The sequence below is a fragment of the Homo sapiens genome, chromosome X (genome assembly GCF_000001405.40).
Source record: "Homo sapiens chromosome X, GRCh38.p14 Primary Assembly".
Lineage (NCBI taxonomy): Eukaryota > Metazoa > Chordata > Mammalia > Primates > Hominidae > Homo > Homo sapiens.
This window is the reverse complement of record NC_000023.11, coordinates 152,393,145-152,414,270: the sequence shown is the minus strand read 5'-3', so window position 1 is coordinate 152,414,270 and position 21,126 is coordinate 152,393,145. Positions and strand designations below refer to the sequence as shown.

Genomic DNA, 21,126 nt, shown 5'->3' with positions numbered 1-21,126 from the left:
TATGAATGTACTAGAATCTGTTTATTTACCTGTAAAAATATTTTTGCGTTGTGTCCAGCTTGATCCTATTAAAAATAAAGGTGGTGTGAACATCCATGTACAGGTTTTTGTATGTACATAAAATTCCATTTCTTTGGGATGAATGTCCAAGAATGACATTGATACGTCTTATGGTAGGTGCATGTGTGGTTTTTAAGAATCTGCCAAACAATTTTCCAGAGTGCTTTTACCATTTAATATTTAAATGAGAATAGCTTTTTTTATTTTGCTTTGTAAGTCTGTTGCTAGTATATAGAAATAAATTTTTTTTTCGCATATTGATCTTGTGTCCTGTGACTTTGACAAACTCATTATTGGTAGGAGATTTTTTTTTTATTCCTCGGGATTTTCTACATAATGAATTGTTATCTGCAAACAGAGACAGTTTAAAGTCTTTCCTTCCATTCTGTAGGCTTTTTGTTTCCTTTTTTTTCTTTATTGTATTGGTTAGGATTTCTAATATTGTGTTAAATAAAAGTGGTAAGAACGGACACCTTCGCCTTGATTTTAGGAGGAAACATTTCACCATGAACTATGATGCAGCTCAACGTTTTTTTCAGGCGTTCTTTATAAAGTTGAGCAAGTTTTCTTCCATGCCTAGTTTGCTGCAAGTTGTTTTTATAAATCATGTATAGGTACTGGATTTTGTGAAATGATATTTCTGCATTATATAGTTTTGCCTCTTTGGCATGTTGTTATGGTGGGTTAAATTGATTGTCAAATGTTCAACCGACCTTGCATAACTGGAATAAATCTTACTTAATTAAGATGTATAATTAGTTTTATATTTGATGGACTCAATTTGCTAATGTTTTCTTGAGGATTTTTGTGTTTATATTCATGAAGGATATTTGCCTATAATATTCCTTTTTTTCTGTACTGCCCTTGTTTGGTTTTTGGAACCAGGACAATACTGGCCTCATAAAATCCGTTTATTACTGTTCTTTCCTATTCACCTTTTGAAAAGAGATTTTGTTGAATTGGAGTTATTTTTTTTTTAATATATGGTAAATTCTCTAGTGAAGCCATCTGGTCTGGGATTTCATTCTTTAAGGTTTTTGGTGAGAATTCAGCTGATAATCTTATTGAGGATCATTTGCATGTGATAAGTTGCTTCTCTCATGCTGCTTTCAAAATTTTTTGTTTTTGTCTTTCAAAAATGTAATCATAAAGTGTCTTGGCCTGGATGTATTTGAATTTATTAAACTTGAAGTTCGTTGCACTTCTTGGTTTCATAGAGTCGTGTCTTTCTTAAAATTTGGGAAATTTTCAGCCATTAGTTCTTCAAATGTTCTTTCTGCTCTTTTCTCTCTCCTCCTCCTCTGAAACGCCCATTATGCAAATGTTCCACATGTCTCTTAGGTTTTATTATTATTCTTTTTTAAACCATTTTAAAGTGTACGTTTCAGTGACATTTAATACATTCACATTGTTGTGCAACCATCACCACTATCTGATTCCAGAACACTTTGTCATCCCAAAAGTAAACCTCATACCTATTAGGCAGTTACTCCCCATTCCCCTCTTTCTCAAACCCCTCATGAACGCTAATCTTCATTTTGTCTCTATGGATTTACCTATTCTGGATATTTTGTATATATGGAATCATACAATATGTGGTCTTTTATGTCCATTTTCTTTCACTTAACATAATGTCTTCTAGGTTCATCCATATTATAGAATGTATTAGTACTTCATTTCTTTTTATGGAAAAATAATATTCCATTTTATAGTTGCCACATTATATAGTTGCCACATACTCACAATGTGTATGTCACATTTGTTTATCCACTCATCCGTTGACAGATATTTGTGTGGTTTCCATCTTTTGTCTATTGTGAAGTGTACTGCTATGACATTCATGTACAATTTTTCATTTGAACATGTGTTTTGAACTTTTTTGGGTATATACCCAGGAGTGGAATTGCTGAGTCATAAGTGAATTCTGTGTTTAACTTACTGAGGACTCACCAAACTGTTTTTAAACAGTAGCTGAGCCAATTTGCATTCTCATCAGCAATATATAAGGGTTCTAATCTTTCCATATCTTTATGAACACTTGCTTTTATCTTTTTTTAATGTCACCATCTTAGTGGATGTGAAGTGGTATGTTACAATTTTTATTTGCATTTCATGTTGGCTAAATGATGTTGAACATTTTTTCGTGTGCTTGTTGGTCATTTCTGTATCTTTTTTTGGAGAAATGTTTATTCATTCCTTAGCCCACTGAAAAAAATTTGGTAAGAAGCTGGTAACCTTTATGTGATTCTTTTTTTAAAAAACAGCTTTATCGAGATATAATTTACATACTGGAAATTACTTGTAGCCCATCTTTTAATTAGGTAATTAACTTTTTGTTACTGAGTTGTAAGAGTTCTTTATATATTGAGGGTACTAGACCCACTGCAGATAGATGATGAACAAATATTTTCTCTCACTTGTGGATGTCTTTTCACTCCCTTGATTGCATCATTTGATGCATAGAAGTTTTTGTTTTTGATGGAATCCAATTTATCTATCTTTTATTTTGTTCCTTGTGCTTTTGGTGTTGTATCTAAGAAATCATTTCCTAATTCATGTTCATGAAGACCAACCTCTATTTTTCATCTAATAATTTTATAGTGTTAGCTCTTAGAGGTAGATGTTTGAACGAGTTTGAGTTAAATTTTGCATATGATAAGTGAAACAGATCCAGCTCCTTTTGCATATGGATATCCAGTTGCCCCAACATTTTTCTTCATTATTTTTTTCTTTTTTCTCTACAGAAAGTAATCCCAATTGATTCTTTTTTTCCGCTGCTCAAATATACTGTTGAATCTTCATAGTAAAATTTTCATTCCAGTTATACTTTTTAACTTCAGAATTTTTATTTGGTTCTTTTTTTATTACTTATTTATTTTGGTTGTTGTTCATTTTTGAGACAGGGTCTCACTCTGTCACCCAGGCTTGAGTTCAGTGGCACGATCATGGCTCACTGCAGCCTCCATCTGCTAGGCTCAAGTGATCCTCCCACCTCAGCCTCCCAAGTAGCTGGGACTACGGGCACATACCACCATGCCCACCTGATTTCTTATTTTTTAATTTTGTAGATACAGTGTCTCACTATGTTACCCAGGCTGGTCTTGAACTCCTGGTTGCAAGCGATCTTCCCACCTTGGCCTCCCCAAGTGCTGGGATTACAGACATGAGTCACCACATGCATCCTTCGTTCCTTTTTATAATTTCTATTTCTTATTGATAATTTCTGTTTGGTGAGACATTTTTCGCCTGGTTTCCTCTAGTCTTTGCTCATGGTTTTCTTTAGCTCTTTGAACATTTTTAAAACAGTTTATTTGAAGTCTCTTCCTAGTGAGTCCAATGTCTTAATTTTGTCCAGGGACAGTTTCTATTAATTTTCTTTTTTGTTGTGAATGACACATATTTTCTTGTATTTTTGTGTGATTTGTATATCTTCTTTGGGGAAATGTTTTTGGAATAATATTCATTTTGAATATTATACTGTGTTCACTGTGGAGATTAAATTTTCCCACTTCCCCAGGATTGGTTACTATTGCTTTTTTGTGAGTTTGTTTGTTTAATGATTTTTTATAAACAATTTATTTAATTTTTTAATAATTAAAATTTTTATTTGAAATAATTATGGGTACATAATAGTTCTATATGTTGATAGAGTATATGTGATGTTTTTGTTTTTTAAATATAAAATTTGTTATTAATTATTATGGATACATGATAGTTATACATATTTATGGGGTACATGTGATGTCTTGATGCAGGCATACAATGTCTATTGATCAAATGGCATAATTGGGGTACCCATCACCTCAAGCATTTTTCATTTCCTTGTGTTAGGAACATTCCAATTTCACTTTTTTTTATTTAAAAATACACGATAAATTATTGTTAACTATATTCACTCTGTTCTACTATCAAATACTACCTCTTGTTCCTTCTAACTGTATATTTGTGCTCAATAACCATTACCTCTTTATCCTTCCCCCCACAACCCTTCCCTGCGTCTGATAACCCTCATTCTACTCTTTATGTTGGTGAGTTGAATTGTTTTAATTTTTAGTTCTCACAAATGAGTGAGAACATGCAAAGTTTTTCTTTTCATGCCTGGCTTAGTTCACTTAACATAATGAATAATGTCCTGCAGTTCCATCCATGTTTTTGCAAATGGCAGGATTTCATTCTTTTTTATGACAAATAATATTTCATTGTATATATGTCCCACATTTCCTTTACCCATTTATTCATTGATGGACTTTAGGTTGATTCTCTATTTTGCCTATTGTTAATACAGCTGCAATAAACATAACAGTGCAGATATCTCTTTGTTAGATTGATTTCCTTTCTTTTGGGTATATAATGAACAGTGGGATTGCTAGGTCATACGATAGTTCTCTTTTTATTTTTTTGAGGAATCTTTGTACTGTTCTCCATAGTGGCTGTACTAATTTACCTTTCCACCAACAGTGTATGGGGGTTGCCTTTTCTCCACATCTTTGCCAGCATTCATTATTGCCTATCTTTTGTTCATTTATAAATCAGATTTTTTTTGGTATTGAGTTGTTTGGGCTCCTTGTATATTCTGGTTATTAATCTCTTTTCACATGGGTAGTTTGCAGATATTTTCTTCTATTCTACAAGTGGCCTCTTTGTTGACTGTTTTCTTTGCTATGTAGACTTTTGGCTTTATGTGACTCCATTTGTCCATTTTTGCTTTGTTTGCCTGTGCTTTTGAGGTCTTAGTCAATAAATCTTTGCACAGACCAATGTCCTGGAGTGTTTCCCTAATGTTTTCTTTCAATAGTTTTATAGTTTCATATCTTAGATTTAAGTTTTTAACCCATTTTGATTTGATTGATTGATTTCTTTCTTTAGAGACAGGGTATCACTCTGTCACCCTGGCTGGAGTGCAGTGGTGCAATCATAGCTCACTATAACCTCAAACTCCTAGACAAGAGTGAACCTCCTGAATAGCAGAAACTACAGGCATGTACCACCATGCCTGGATAATTTTTTAAAAATTATTTTTTGTAGAGATTGGGTCTCACTATGTTACCCAGGCTGGTCTCAAACTCCAGGCCTCAAGCGATCTTCCTGCCTCAGCTTCCCAAAGCACTTGAATTACAGGCATGAGCCACCATGCCTGGCCAATTTTATTTTTATGTATGGTGAGAAGCAGGGGTTGAATTTCATTCTTCTGCATATTGGATATCCAGTTTTCTCAGCAACATATATTGAAGGGGTGTCCTTGTCCCAGTGTATGTTCTTGTCATCTTTGTCAAAAATGAATTGGTCACAAATGCATGGATTTATATCTGATTTATCTATTCTATTCCATTGGTCTATATGTCTGTTTTTATCCCAGGGCCATGCTACTTTAGTTACTATACCTTTGTAGTATAATTTAAAGTCAGGTAATACGATTTCTCCAGGTTTTTTTTTTTTTTTTCCTCAGGATGACTTTGACTTCTCCTGGTCCTTGGTGGTTGTGGTTCCATATACATTTAGGACTATTTTCTCTATTTCTGTGAAGAATATCTTTGGCATTTTGATAGGGACTACATTGAATCTGTGGATTGCTTTGCATAGAATGGACATTTTAACAGTATTGATTCTTCTAAAATCCGTGAACTATCTTTCCATTTTCTTGTCTGACAATTTCTTACATCAACATTTTGCAGTTTTCATTGTAGATATCTTTCATTTTTTGTTTATTTCTAGATATTTTATTTTATTTGTAGCTATTGTAAATGGGAATACTTTCTTTGTTTCTTTTTCAGATTGTTCACTGCTGACATATAAACATGCTACTAATTTTTGCATGATGATTTAGTATCCGGCAACTTTACTGAGTTTTTAAAAATCAGTTATAATGGTTTTTTTTGGTAGAATCTTTTGGTTTTTAACAATATAAGATTATATCTGCAAAAAAGGATAATTTGACTTCTTCTTTTCCAGTTTGTATGCCCCTTATTTCTTTATCTTGTCTAATTGCTCTGGCTAGGACTTCCAGTACTATGTTGAATAAAAGTGGCAAAAGTGAGCATTCTTCTTTAGTTCCAGATGTTAGAGGAAAGACTTTCCATTTTTCCCTGCTCAGTATGATACTAGTGTGGGTTTGTCATATATGGCTTTTATCATGTTGAGATATGTTCTTTCTGTACCCGGATTTTGAGAGTTTTTGTCATGAAGGGATGTTGAATTTTATTGGATGCTCTTTTTTTTGACATCATTTGAAATGATCATATGGTTTTTGTCCTTCATTCTATTGATAATAATGTATCACACTGATTGGTTTGCATATGTTGAAACATCCTTTTATTCCTGACTCATCTCTTGGTCATGATGAGTGATCTTTTTAATGTGTTGTTTAATTCAGCTTACTAGTATTTTGTTGAGGATTTTAGCGTCTATGTTCATTAGTGATGCTGGCCTGCAATTTGTTGCTGTTGTTGTGTCTTCCTCTGGTTTTGGTATTGGTGTAATACTGGCCTCATAGAATGAGTTTGGAAGTATTCCCTCTGCATTTTTTGGGGACAGTTTCAGTAGAATTGATGTTAGTTCTTCTTTAAATGTTTGATAGAATTCGGCAGTGAAGCCATCAGGTCCTGAGCTTTTCTTTGATGGAAGACATTTTATTACTTCTTCTATCTCATTACTTTTTATTGATCTCTTCAGCTTTTGGATTTCTTCATGGTTCAATCTTTGTAGGTTGTATATGTCTAGGAATTTATCAATTTCTTCTAGGTTTTCCAATTTATTGGCATATAGTTGCACATAATAATCTCTAATAATCCTTTTAGTTTCTGTGATATTATTTGTAATGTCTCCTTTTTCATCTCTGATTTTATTCATTTGAAATTTTTCCTTTTTTTGTAAGTTAGTTGGGCTAAATATTTGTTGATTTTGTTTATTTTTTTAAAAACAAGTTTTCATTTTGGTGATCTTTTGTATTTTTTTAGTGTCAATATCATTTATTTCTGCTCTGCTCTTTATTATTTCCTTTCTTCTACTAACTTTGAGTTTGTTTTGCTCTTCCTTTTCTAGTTTTTAAGATGAAGCCTTAGGTTATTTATTTGTAGCTTTTCTACCTTTTCAATCTAGGTGTTTATGCTAAAAACTTCCTTCTTTGTATTGCCCCATAGGCTTTGATATGTTGTGTGTTCATTTTCATTTGTTTCAAGAATTTTTTAAAAATCTTTTTACTTGTTTATTGGCCCAATGGTCATTCAGGAACATATTTAATTTTCATGTGTTTGTATACTTCCAAAATTCCTCTTGTTATTAATTTCTAGTTATATTCCATGTGAATGGAAGAAAAAGATAGCTTATGTAATTTTTTTATTTTTTGAGACTTGCTTTGTGGCCTAACATATGGTCTATCCTTGAGAATGTTCCATGTGCTTAGTAGAAGAATGTGTATTCTCCAGCTGTTGGATAAAATATTTTGCAAATGTCTATTATGTCCAGTTGGTCTATTGTGCTGATTACCTTGGAGGTTTCTTTCTTGATTTTCTGTCTGGACGATCTGTTCATTGCTGAAAGTGGGAAGTAGTTGTCCCCAGCTATTATTGTATTAGAGTCTATCTTGCTCTTTAGCTCTAATAACATTTGCCATATAAAAATATATATATATATATATATATATTCCAGTGTTAGGTGCATAGATATTTAAAATTGTAATATCCTCTTGCTGAACTGACCCCTTTATTATCATATAATTACCTTCCGTTTCTCTTCTTATAGTTTTTTTTTTGTCTTGAAATCTATTTTATCTGATATAAGATAGCTAATCCTTCTGTTTTGGGTTTCCATTTGCATGGAATATCTTTTTCCATCCTTTTTTTCTTTTCATTCTACGTGTGTCTCTACAGGCGAAGTGAATTTCTTACAGACAGCATAGATTTGGGTCTTGTTTTCTTAAATCCATTCAGCCATTCCATATCTTTTATTGGAAAATTTAGTCCATTTACATTAAAGGTTATTATTAATAGTACAAACTTCTTACTGCCATTTTGTCGTTTGTTTTCTGGTTGTTTTGTTGGTCCTCTCTCTCATATATCTTGTGATTTAAGCCTGGGGTCATTGCAGCTGTATCAGCACTTGGGAGCACACTAAACTCGGGAATGATGTGACTCTTGCAGACCCCAAGAGGCACTGTCTTGGTGGGCTTAAGTAAGATAAGAGAGAATTCCCTAGATTACCCCGCAAAGCCTGTTACTTTCCCTCTCTTTCCATTAATTAGAAGCAGCCTGTCTCTCCATGATGGGCTATCTGGAGTTAGGGGAGAGGTCATGTGAACACTCTCATGGCCTCCATGGTTAGGACTGTGCTGTGTCACACCTGAAGCCAGCACAGTACTGGATCTTGCCCAAGGGCCATGGAATCTATTGCCTAGCTACCACTAATGTTTATTCAAGGCCCAAGAGCTTTTTAGTCAGTAGGTGGTGAATCCTGCCAGGACTGGGTCCTTCCTTTCAGGGTTGCGATTCCCTACTGGCCCAGGGTGAGTCAAGGAATGCCATCCAGGAGCTAGGGCCAGGAATTAGGCGCCTCAGGAATTTGCTTGGTGGTTTATTTTACTGTGGCTGAGCTGGTATCCACGTCGCAGGACAAAATCCTCTGTACTCTTCTCTCTCCTTCCCCCAAGTGGAAGGACTGTCTTCCTTGAGATGCACTGCCTGGAGTTGGGGAAAGTGTGACACAGGCCCTATACATCATAGCTGCTGTTGCACTGGGTCATGCACAGTCCACGTCCACTGCCTTTGAGACCAGCACAGCACCAGGACTTGCCCAAGGCCTGCAGTCTTTGTGCCCTGACAGTCACTTAAGTTTATTTGGGGCCCCAGGCCACTTTTGTTGGCTGATGGTGGAGCTGACTGGGACTTGCATTTTTTTTTTTTTTTTTTTTTTGCAAGGGTGCGTAAGTACCCTCTGGCCTTGGGCTGGTGTAGATGCACCGTGGCACCAGCAGAATTCTGCCTTGTATTATGTTCCACTGTGACAGGGCCACTGAGTTCTAATGCAAAGACCCATACTCACCTTGCTCTCCCTCCTCCAAGCACACAGATTCTCTCTCTCCACAAGGCACAGTTAGGGGAGAGGGAAGGGGTGGTGTAGGCAATGCAAGACTGTCTTTCTTATCCTCTTCAATGCCTCCTCCCTTGATATTATATTAAATATTGAAACCAGATAATTTGATCTCTTACATGAGTATTTTTTTCCTATAAAGTTGCTTTCTTGCGTGGATAGTTGTTCAATTCAGTGTTCCTTGCAGGGGGACGATCAGTGGAGGGTTGTAATCAGCCATCTTGCTCCACCTCCGTCCTCTAAACTATTTTTTAAGACTGCACTCTATGTGTTTTGTGGTCATTGAAGTCTGTGTTTTCTTAACTTAGCTAGTGATTTGACAGAAATTTCCTTAGACACTGAGAACCAATAATAATAATAATAATAATAATAATAATAATAATAATAATAATAATAAATGACTTCCTGGCTCTCCTGCTTCTCCTGGTTGAAAGGGTTTGGGGTCTAGACTCCTCACTCAGCCTCTGCCAGTGCTCTGTCCACAGAGGAGGGAATCATCACCTCAGACTACCTGTACTGCTGGATGGAGTTGAAAGTTTGAGCCCCTCACTTGGCCTCCTCTTTCACTGCTGGTGATGGACTGTTTGTGGTGTTTGGCTAGGGTAGTGCAGGTATTGTCAATAAGTTTTCTGTCTTTCTGGGATGTCCCTTTCTTGGTCCTTTGGCTAGAGAGAGCAGACTTTTATTTGGGACTTTTTTTTTGTCTGCCTCTGTTGGTGGTTCTTTGTTACAAGCTTTTCTAACTCCTAGTTTGGGGTATGGGGGAGGTAAAAAGAAAATGCAGGGAACTCCCTGCCATGTTGTTTCTTAAGTTTCAAGGTCCCTAGCCAGTCTGCCTTTTCCTTTCCACTTATATGCAACTTTTTATAATTTTCTGCTGTGGTTTGTCTAGAGTTTTAATTGTAAAAACTTGAGAGGAATGGGGAAAATGATTGTATTTCATCTTGTCTGGAACCCAAAGTCCTCTGTTATCTTTTTTAAAGAGAGGATCATATCTTTCTTTTCCATCCTTACTCTTTGTGTAGCCCTTAAGCATTCCAGCTGAAATTTTGGGGGTTTACCAGGGACACTGACCTTACTGGGCCCCAAACTCCATGATACTGCTGATGAGTAGCTTGTAATCATTTTAACATCTTTTTTTCTGCTTGAGTTCTCCAACACAACCATTTAGAAATCAGTAAATGCCTCCTTGGAAAATGTGGCTCAGACTGTCAGACTCATTTCTTGGCTCTTCTGCTTTCTCCCGGATCTTGGTTTTTCAAAACCTGGGTTATATAAAGCCCTGAACTTTGATTTTTGTTTCACCACCTCTGTGATACTGTAGGAAACTGTGTTCCACTTCTCTGTCTCTTAATCATTGCTTTCTGCTTGACTTTTCAGCCTTTCTGGCTGTGTTAGTTACTTGGTAACTTACCAGTCAGCAAATTCTGACAGGGGTTAAGAAGTATAGTATATCAGGCTCACCTCAGCAAGTTTTCTTTAACTCCAAAATCTTGGCCCTTCAAATCCTATTTGCGTTGGCTCCCTGGTGAAATAACACACACACACACACACACACACGTGTGCACATACACACACGTGTGCACACACACAAGCACACACACATTTTATGGAAGTATTCTAGATTTTCTTGGTGGATGAGTTGGTCTGTTATATAAAGTTGTCCATTATAGCCATAAGCAGAAATTCTTCATAAAGTTTTACAGTTTTCTTCTAGTAAATTTTGTGTATATTTTGTTATATATATTTCTAAGTTTTATAGTTTTTTTGCTAATATGAATGGCTTTTTTCTTCCATTACATTCTCTAGTTGGTTATTGTTGATGTTTGCAAAGGATATTGACTAGTGTATTTTTATTTATTATTTGTCCATCTTATAGTAAACTATTATTCCATTGCAAACTAACACTTTTTCTCTTTTTTCTAATATTTATTCATTCTTTTTTCTTAGCTTAATTCATTGGCCAGAAATTTTAGTACTATATTGAATAAAGTTAGTGTTAGCAGCCAGTTTTATCTCCTTCCCAGCTTTAGAGGGACTCCTTTTAATGTTTCACTACTAAGTAGAAAGTTTTCTGTAGACTTCACATAAATAAAGTATTAACTCTTATAAAATGTCCATCCTATTTCTTCTTATGTTAATATAGCTTCCAAGTTTTCACTAAAATGTAACCTCCTTTATTCAATTTTATACTCTCTTTGGCCTTCTCAAATTATGGTTGGCTTCTTCTTCAAGTGGACAACAATACAGTGCATAAAGTGTTGTCTTTGATATTTAATTATGTTTTATGGTAAATGTTAGTTATGTTTTTGTCTGTCCCCAGGAAGACATTTTTCCTGTTTTATATTTGTATCCCCATTCTTGGTACAGTATCTGTCACATGCTATATAGTCAATATTTTTATATAATTAATTATTTCAACATTTTTATCATAATATTTTACTTCCATATCTGTTGTATATCTTTATTATCCTGAAGGTTTCTGATTCGAAGTAAAACTGAGACATAGGGAAAGAAAGGTGCATAGGGACCCAGTGCTGCTTTTATGCTCCTGCTTCATTCTCAGTTGACATTTCTCTGAATTATAGATTATTAGACTTAGAAGTTTAGTCATCATCTAGTTTGACCAATTCATCTTATAAATGAGGAAATTGAGACTCAGTAGAGGAAGTGAAATGTTCCAAAACTTACGGCTAATTTAAAATCTATTCCTTAAATTTATCTGTGTAGCAAAAAGAGATTACATCACACAGACAATCTTGTTTTCGCTGTATGCTAATTTCCATGAATTTCCTAGTGTCCTTCCCCACCTTGACATGTAGACAGTGTGTGACGGCTGGAGGGATAAGCATTGGCTTAAGGCGTTGGCACAGTCTGCAGAATAGAGAAAAGTTTTCCTCCATCAGCTTCTGGAATAGGAGATTCTGCTTTAGTTCACCATTTATCCAGATATGAACAGTATTCCTTACGGAGGTCCTGTACTATTGTGTTTCTTCATTTGGACATATGAAAGTAGCCTTTGCTTCTTCTACCTGTGGTTGCTTTCTAGCTTCAGATATCATGCTGCATTTATATCTGAGATTCTTGAACTTTGAAATAAAGCTGAACTGTGAAGCTATTGGGAGGGGTATGTGGGTGAGCTGAAGAAGGAGGAAGCAGAGAGGATTAATGGCTTTGGCTGAAACCAGAATGCTCTGGACTTAAGAACTACATGGTTTTTGCTCTTCAGAGAGCTATAGCAGATTCCTAAATCCCTTAGTGCTGGTTTCTACATGGCCTTATCCAAATCTCTATCCTATAGTCGCTGTTCTCCTACAATGGTCTCCAAGCAGACCCTTTGTGAAATTACATTTCTTGCAAATATTCATTCCAAGAGCCTAGGCCAGCCCTGTGCTACATTGGAGGCATCAAACAACAACTCGAGCAAAAAGTATTCCTCCCACTCCCAATAGTATAACTGAATTTTCGCCATCATAGAAAGTTCTTCCAGAAATATTTACATTTTAAGTAAACTATGGAAATATCATTTGACCAAGAGTCAGAGGTTTTCAGTTCAGTCCCTTCTTTTACACTTATTAGTAATTGGTTTGTGAGCAAGTAAAAACCTCTTTGTGTTTTAGATTTTTATCTGTTATGTAAGTTGAAAAATTCTTACCTTGCTTACCTATCATGATTGTGATAAGGATAAAATCTGATAATGAATGGCAAAATACATCATAAGAGCACAGATATAATTTATTATATTAATGTAACATCACTTGCCGCCACTTATTGGATACTCAGTGCATGCTGTGTACTCTAATCAATTTGTAGAGTATATGTGTTTGTGTGTGTGTGTGTGTATATATATATATATATATATACACACATTAAATCATCACACATTCCAAAAGAAAGAACTATTATCCTCCTGTTAGAGATAAAGAGCCTAAGTGTATTATCTTTCTATTGCTGATGTAACAAACTACTACAAATGTAACAGTTTAAAAAAACACACGTTTTATATCTCACAGCTTTATAGATAAGAAGTCTGGTTGGCTGACCTGGGTCCTTTTCTTAAAGAGTCTCACAAAGACGAAGTCAAAATATTGTAAGGGCTACATTATTTTTCTGGAGGCTCTGGTGATGAATATGCTTGCAAGCTCACTCAGGTTGTTGACAGACTTCTGTTTTACGTGGTTGTTAAACTGAGGTCCTTGTTTCCTTGCTGGCTGTTGGCCAGAGTTTTCTTTATCAGCTCTTAGAGGTCACCTACATTCCCTGGATCATGGGATCCCTTCATCTTCAAAAGCATCAATGGAGGATTGAGGACATTTTACACTTTGAATCTCTCCTGCCTCTTCCTCTGCCCCATCTCTCTGATCTCTTACTCTGCCCTTCCTCTTTTGCTTTTAAAGGCTCATGTAATTATATTGGACCCACCTGGGTAATCCAGGATACTATATCTATTTTAAAGTCAGTTGATTATCAACTATTCCATATGCAAAGTCTCTTTGGTTGTGTAATGTTTACATATTCATAGGGATAATACTAGGGGACAGAGATCATGGGGACCAAAATCTTGCTACCACACTAAGAGAGCCACTATTTAATGTTATTTTATTTTATTTTATTTATTTTTGAGACAGGGTCTTACTGTGTTGCCCAGGCGGGAGTGCAGTGGCGAGATCACAGCTCACTGCAGCCTCCAACTCCTGGGATCAAGTGATCCTCCCGCCTCAGCCTTCCAAGTAGCTGGGACTACAGGCACGTGTCACGATGCCCAGCTAATTTTATTTATTTATTTATTTATCTATTTATGTACAGATGGGATCTTTTGCAGAGACTCTATGTTGCCCAGGCTGGTTTCAAACTCCTGGCCTCAAGTGATCCTCCTACCTCAGTCTCCCGAAGCACTGGGAATATAGGAGTGAGCCACTGTGCCCAGCCTACTTGTATTTAAATTTAATGTCTAGGTTCCTAAATGAGTAAATAAAACTAATATTAATAAAACATAAATTAACGTGAGAAAATATTTTATATATTTCAGAGTGACGTGTGTGTATCCTCTTTGCTCAAAAAGAGAGAACCCCTTTCCCCAGTTTCTCTGCCTCATATTTTCACTTGCAATGTTGAGGTCCCCACTGTATGTTGTCCATTTTAGCTCTTCAACATAAAGGCCTTGATTCATACTACAGAAGGTGGTGTTTGTCTGTCTGATGATGTCTTTACCAAATAGGTAAGTCACTAGGGTTCCCTTAGGTTGGGGCTCTAGGGGTGCTCAGAACTTCAAAGCTATTCCTGTAGAGTTTTGCAGTCTTCCTTCTAGCTATTGCAAAATCACCTCGCTATGTCTGACTGGATCCTCTTACTCAATGTCCCAGCATCAATTTCACTTCCAATCTTGATTCTAGTTTAGTCTTTTTAAATCCAATCTGTATCTAGCAATCAGAAAGCTCTCTCTAATATGCAAATCTGCTAGTGTGACAGCATTCTTCAGTGGTTTCTCTTTTCTCTAAAAATCAAACCTAAACTCTTTGAAGTGGCTTGTGAGACCACACATGAACTGTTTCTGCTTACCTCTCTGGTTTTATTTCTATCCACTCTCCTCTTATTTCTCTTTGCTTCAGAAGTACTGAACTACTTTCATATTTTCTAGCCTAGTATGATCTTTGGCTCCCTTTGGTCTTCATATGTGATAGAAAATTCTTCCGCTTCTTTTTATTTTTTTTAAAATCTGAGCTTCACCAGTTCCTACTCAGAAACTTCCCAGTGATATCTTCCTCTATTCCCCAAATCATACTTCATAATAATTAGCATTTCTTTCCAGTAAACTATCAACCCCTTAAAGTTGAGAATCCTTATTTTGTTGAATACTGTGTTGTCTGAATTTAGCACAATTGTAAAATATTTTCTGAGAACATGAATACATGGATTAAACTTGTGTCTGTTTGAGCATTATACTCACCTAGCCTGAGTGGCTGTGATGGCACACCTCTATTATCTTAAGATACTTCCAAGAATTAGGACTGAGATTGTCTCTTTCCTCAGCCCTGATCTGTGTGAGTCTTTACTAGATAGAGTAGGAAGCTTGCCTCTTGGGAACTAGATTATCTGACCAGAAATTAGTTCTCCCCAAGCCATCAATCAAATTCTTTTTGCTTCTTCTGAGAAAGTAAAATGTTTTATCCCCTTGCAGGCTGAGTGCATATTGATATATCATGACTATCTCCACACACATCTTGGAGACACATTCCCACACCATGATTGCTTCTTTTCTGTGTTCCTTAACTGTAACCACCTGATTCTCTTCCATGCTTGTTTGCTTGTGTACTATGGTATTCTGAGCACACAACATGGTTGTATGCTTTTTTTAAAAATATTCTTGAGCAAATGTATTTATTTATTGGTATGTGCAATCACAAACTTGGTATTTTCCTATGTTGACATTATGTATGTTATAGAATTTAATGTTTGTCTAAGTAGAAACATATATCAGCAAATTAAATCTGAATTGTTTCAAAACTTCTGTACTTTTTATATAAAAGGAGAAAAATATGTCTCTTTCCTAATAGTTTTTTTTCTATACCCTTCATTCTGTTTTCTAAGAGCCTCAGGTTGTTAGATGGGTGGCAGTAACAAAGAGATCATAGCTAGTTTAGAACCAATGACATATGGGTCAACACTGTCCTCCCTCTCATAAGAACCACAGCCAAAGGCTGGGAAGGGCCAGAAAAATGGTGAGGTTAGAAGTTATTTAAGTTAGAGCAATTCTCTTTAGGGTCTGCTGTGTCATCTGGAGGAATAGATTGGTGGTTCTGAAGTATCCCTTGTGGGCCTGGCCCTTAGGAACAGAACAGGGCTGTAGAGCCCAAAAAAAAAAAAAAAAGGTGGAAAAACTCCAGCTGGCAGATATAATATGAAAGCCAAGCCACTTGAGCTATCTGACCTTATTCAGAGCCTAACCCATTTAAACAGGACTTAGGCATGCTTGGGAATCTTTTTTGTTTCCTTAGGCTGAGGCAGAATTGAAACCAAGAGGAAAGGAGGTTGCAGTTGTGGCCACAAGTAGACATAAAAGCTAATGGTCTGATCCTGAGGGAAGAGATTATAACTAAAGTCACCCAAATAAAGACTGCAGAATGGCCCTGGGCCATTCCTAACAGTCAGGGTAGCCTTAGAGGGTGTCAATTGTGATAGCCCAGCAGCAAAGGACTTGATGACAGAGTAATAGTGCTGTTGATGACATTGTCACCAAGCACCTACTACATGCTTCACCTTGGGATAGATACTTCGACAGTATCTTATTTAATCCCGACAGCTCGATAAGGTGGTTATTGTGCCCGATCCATAAATGTGAGAAATGGTGCTCTGAGAGAAGTTGAAGAGACATAATAAACAGGAGAAATTTCTCCTTTCGTGTAAGAAAATTAGAAAGAAAAGAAAAATAAAATAGGGGAAAATAAGTATATTTTAGAAAGGTTAATGGTCGAGGCAAAGTCATAGATGGATCATTCAAGATTTTTTCTCAATATTGCTGAATGGCTGAAGTACTAAATGTTTATTCGGAATACAAATAGTCTGGAGTGAAGAGGACTTTAAGAGGGTAGTAATAAGTAGAGTTTGTTTACTCCCCGAGATCTAGAGTTTTGATGTGATCAAGAACATTTCCTACCTGAAGCATAACCTGTCACCTGTGGCTTCTGCTTCTGTTAGAAATAGCATTTGCAGGATATTCTAAAAAGGAAAAAGATTTTTGTTTGGTTATCAGGTTGAAGAGAAATCTTAAATGACCATAGGCAGGGTGACCATATGTCTACTATAGTCCTGGTTTACACCTATTATCTTGGCATATTAAAGTTTGCTTTTTCCAAAGTGTCCAAGTTTTGGCCATAAGTTATTTGATCACTGAAGCCACAGAAGGTGTAAAGAGTGTGGTTCTCACAAGCCGTCTCTTATAGAAGCCAAATATGCCTTCACTCCTCAGTGCATTTCCCTGGGACCAGCTTCTGCAGAGATTGTATGCCTTTAGACTTAGGGTAACCTACTCTTGCACCATGGCCTTTGGCTCACACACCAATGCTGTGTTAACATGATATGTTGCGTGATTCTATGGTTATCTTTCCCTGAAGTATTGCCCTTTGTCACTGTAATATGATTCTGCATGCTTAGGTATCCAAGCAAGCACCATGGCCTTCTGATCCTGAATTATAAGTATCTGCTCCTATATAAGAAGAGTTTATGCACATGAACGTGAACCATGTTTATGATGTCATATGTCATGATTTTCAAGCATGTTAGTTATATTTGCCCATGTATCAAGCCAGAGCCAGTGACTTCTGTGTTAGGTGCAATTTACCTTGTTTAAAGTTTATCTGAACATTTACCATGATGGTATACACCTGTCCCGGAGCTTAAGGCTATTGTGTTGTGATTTCCAACTCATGAATTATTTTCTTGGCATGTTGCATTGTTTAACATATCAATGTAGTATCCTCATGTACAATGTTGACTATAGTCACAAGGTATTTGGATGATTCTACTACTCTCTACTTCTAATAATAGATGATTGTGAGCACACTGTACTATGGCTGTCAGTTCATACATCATGACTTCCTGATAATATTTAGGGGTTTTCTGAGTGTGATTTTTGTTCAGGTGGTAAAACTACAGGGGGAGATATTTATACACCATGCAGTCATTTAAACATGTCTCAGAGTCCTTTTGTAACAATGTCATCTGTATTTGTTTCCCAAGGATGCCACAACAAAGTGCTTTAAACTAGGTGGCTTAAAACAACAGAAATGTTTTTCTCACAGTTCTGGAGGCTAAAAGTTCTAAATCAAAGTGTCAGTAAAGCCGTGCTCTCTCTCGAGCCTAGCAAAGGAGTCATCCTTGCATTTTTCAGCTTCTGGTAATCCCAAGTGTTTCTTGGCTTGTGGCAGCATCACTCCAATCTCTAACTTCATTGTCATATGGTTTTCTCTCGTTGTCTGTTATATCTAAATTTCCCCCTTCTTATAAAGACACCAGTGATTGGATTTAGGGCTGACCCTAATCCATTATAAAGGCATCTTAACTTGATTACATCTACAAAGACCCTATTACCAAATAAAGTCACATCCACAGGTACTGGGAGTTATAACTTCAGTGCCCCTCTTTTGTAGAACACAATTCAACCCATAATAGCATTTACATTTGGAGACATTTGCTTTTATGTTATAGCTTTTAAATTAGGCATGTGTTCATCCGAGGAAGCACTACAGCTTAGTTCTCTGTTCATATATCACTGATGTTTGAGATTGATCTGTGATTGACCAACTTCTATGTCATGGTTATCACACTGTGCAGCATGTTACTAGCTCATATATCAGTCATGTCGGGCTCCTACTTCAACATTGCTTTTTGCTCTTGTACTATATCCAACTGTTCCTGTATTTTGCGTATTTACAGCGATATAGTCTTGGGATATAGTCTTCTCTATTATCATTCATTACCTCACATTTTATGGTTGTTAAGTTGTGCACCATGATCAGATGCTCAAACAAAAGAGCCATCTGAGCATATGGCATGAGGTGTCATTTTGCACCACTGTCATCTTATCCTTAACTGAAAACTTGATTCAGTATTGTGGATATCGGATAGGGACATGCGTCTGAATGGATACCACTCCTGAAGGATAGCCAACTGCTTGTGTATTTTATGTGTATACTAATTGATTCTCTGTGTATACATCATAGATATTGCTCACCCATCATTAATGTGTAAAAAATAAACATAATCTCCTTCTGTGTGGAGAATGATAACTTTAATAACATGAATATTAGTTCCTGAATTGTGGTCACTGGCTCCTGCAGAATGGGTATTTTCTCCATATTTGCTGTCTGTTCCTGTATCATGCTTACTAACTGTATCATAGCTGTTAGTTTGTGTAATGGGATCGTTTGGATTTATATCATGCCCAAACACAAATGTGTAGAGTCAATCACCATGGTTATTTTTTTTATGAGTCATTATGTCCATGTGAGTCTTTTTTTTGTACCACTGTCATCTTCTCTTGGGCCAAAGTCATTAATTGCTTGCATGGTTATTTTTGATTACATACCATATCTACCCAAGTAAGAATCACACCATGTTTTATTTCCATATCATGTCCATCTGCACCTGTGTCATAATTGATAGCCTATGTCCTGTAGGTGTCTGACTGGACCTCATGAACACATATTAAAACATGCTTTTTGGCATCTTATTCATCTGAACATCCTGTATTATTTTGATCTTCTTTTTGACAAAATGCCATACATACCCGTATTTTTTGTATCACCTGAGCAGTTTTTACTCTGTGATTCTTTCCTGGGATACCATATCTATCCCCTTTTTCATGTATGAATTGACCTATTCTCCATGATAATATAAACATACATAATGAATTTGTGCTCATATACTGTGATTGAAGTTGTACTACGTATTTAAACTTAAACACCACACTTGTGTGAAAATACACAATCATTGTCTACTTGTACTGGGAATGAGTATTTTGTACTATGTATATTAATTTCTACACCATGTCTTTCACTATTGTGATGAGTTTTCTCTGTCCTTTGTCATCTGTCTACTCCCTATAACCTGGTATCAGCTCATGTTGCAGATCTTCTGTGTGTGCATCGTGGTCAAATGCTCAGACTCCTGTGGTGGCTGCTTATGCACCACGGATGTTTGAGCATGTGCTATGGTGTCTACTTTTGCAACATTGCCATCTGCTTCTGGAACAAAGCCACTCATTTTTCTGCTCTGTTTTAAAATCTGGTATCATGTCTGTCAGAAGAATCACAGCATATTGTCATTTATTGTCATATTTACAATAATGGATAGTGGAGCCAAAATGACTGAATTTGAATCCTGGATTATCCACTTACTAGCTATGAGATCTTGGACACATCAGTTCATGAAATGGACACATCAATTCGTATCTTCATGCTTCAGTTTCCTGCAAAATGACAAAAAAAGTAGTAAGGTTATTGTGAGGATTGTATAAGCTATTATACATAAAATATTTTTAATACTGCCTGGCAGGTAGTGATGATGATGATAACAATGATGATGATGATGATGACATGACAATGATGATAATGATACTGTGTCCCTTGATCGTGTATAATAATTGTCAGCTCAAATTCTGGAGTTCTCTAAGTGTGCATTATGGTCAAATGCTGATACTTGTGATAGTGTTTAAAGCATCATTATATAAGTATATGCCATGGCAGTCATTTGAATCGTTGCCATCTGTAGTATTCTATTAGCTACTGCACTATCGTTTTCTGCTATTTTATTATCAGCATCTTCTTCAATATCCTTGTTCATCTGCTCCTATATTATGGTCATCAGCTTATTTTTGTTGGGATATCTGGGTGTACATCGTGGTTTAACAGTCAAATATTAGTGTTAGTTGCTCATGCACCATGATTGCCTGAGTATGTGCCATGATATCTCCTCCAGCATCATTGTCATATGCTGTTTGCCTAAATAAGTTGTATTCATGTGTTATGTTTCCTTTATTCATATGTCCTGTCCATCTGGGCATATTCCTCATTGTGTTATTCACTCTTGTATCACACCCACCTGCTTTTATATTGTAGGTTTTTGCTCATGCACCATGGTTGTCTGAGCATGCAGCATGCTTGTCTGCTCATACCCCATGGTTTCTGAGCAGGAACCTTCATTGTCTACTGCTTTACAGGGAAATAGTGTTTTATGCATCGTGTATATGAGTTTAGTATTTACTCATATTCTATGACTCTCTACTCTTAGATCACTTCTGCCTTTTTCTGCACATTGTTTATCTGTTCCAAAAAGACAGATGTTATCTCATGTCACTGGGCTTTCTAATTGTACATCAGTCAAATGCTTAAATGCCTATGATGTGATGGCTGTTCATGCAACATGGCTGTTTCAGCATATATCATAACTTCACCCGTTTAATCATTGCCATCTTCTCCCAGACTAAAG

The 21,126-nt window shown here is 36.3% G+C and overlaps 1 protein-coding gene and 2 non-coding genes across 4 annotated transcripts in view; all 3 read left to right on the top strand.

Moving 5' to 3' along the window:
• GABRA3 (gamma-aminobutyric acid type A receptor subunit alpha3) overlaps window positions 1-21,126 on the top strand; it is a 285,082-nt gene that overhangs the window by 37,045 nt on the left and 226,911 nt on the right. The window lies entirely within an intron of this gene.
• On the top strand, window positions 19,779-19,859 carry MIR105-2 (microRNA 105-2). The gene has a single exon (NR_029522.1). It is a non-coding gene; the product is annotated as a microRNA 105-2 (primary transcript).
• MIR767 (microRNA 767) lies at window positions 20,742-20,850 on the top strand. The gene has a single exon (NR_030409.1). It is a non-coding gene; the product is annotated as a microRNA 767 (primary transcript).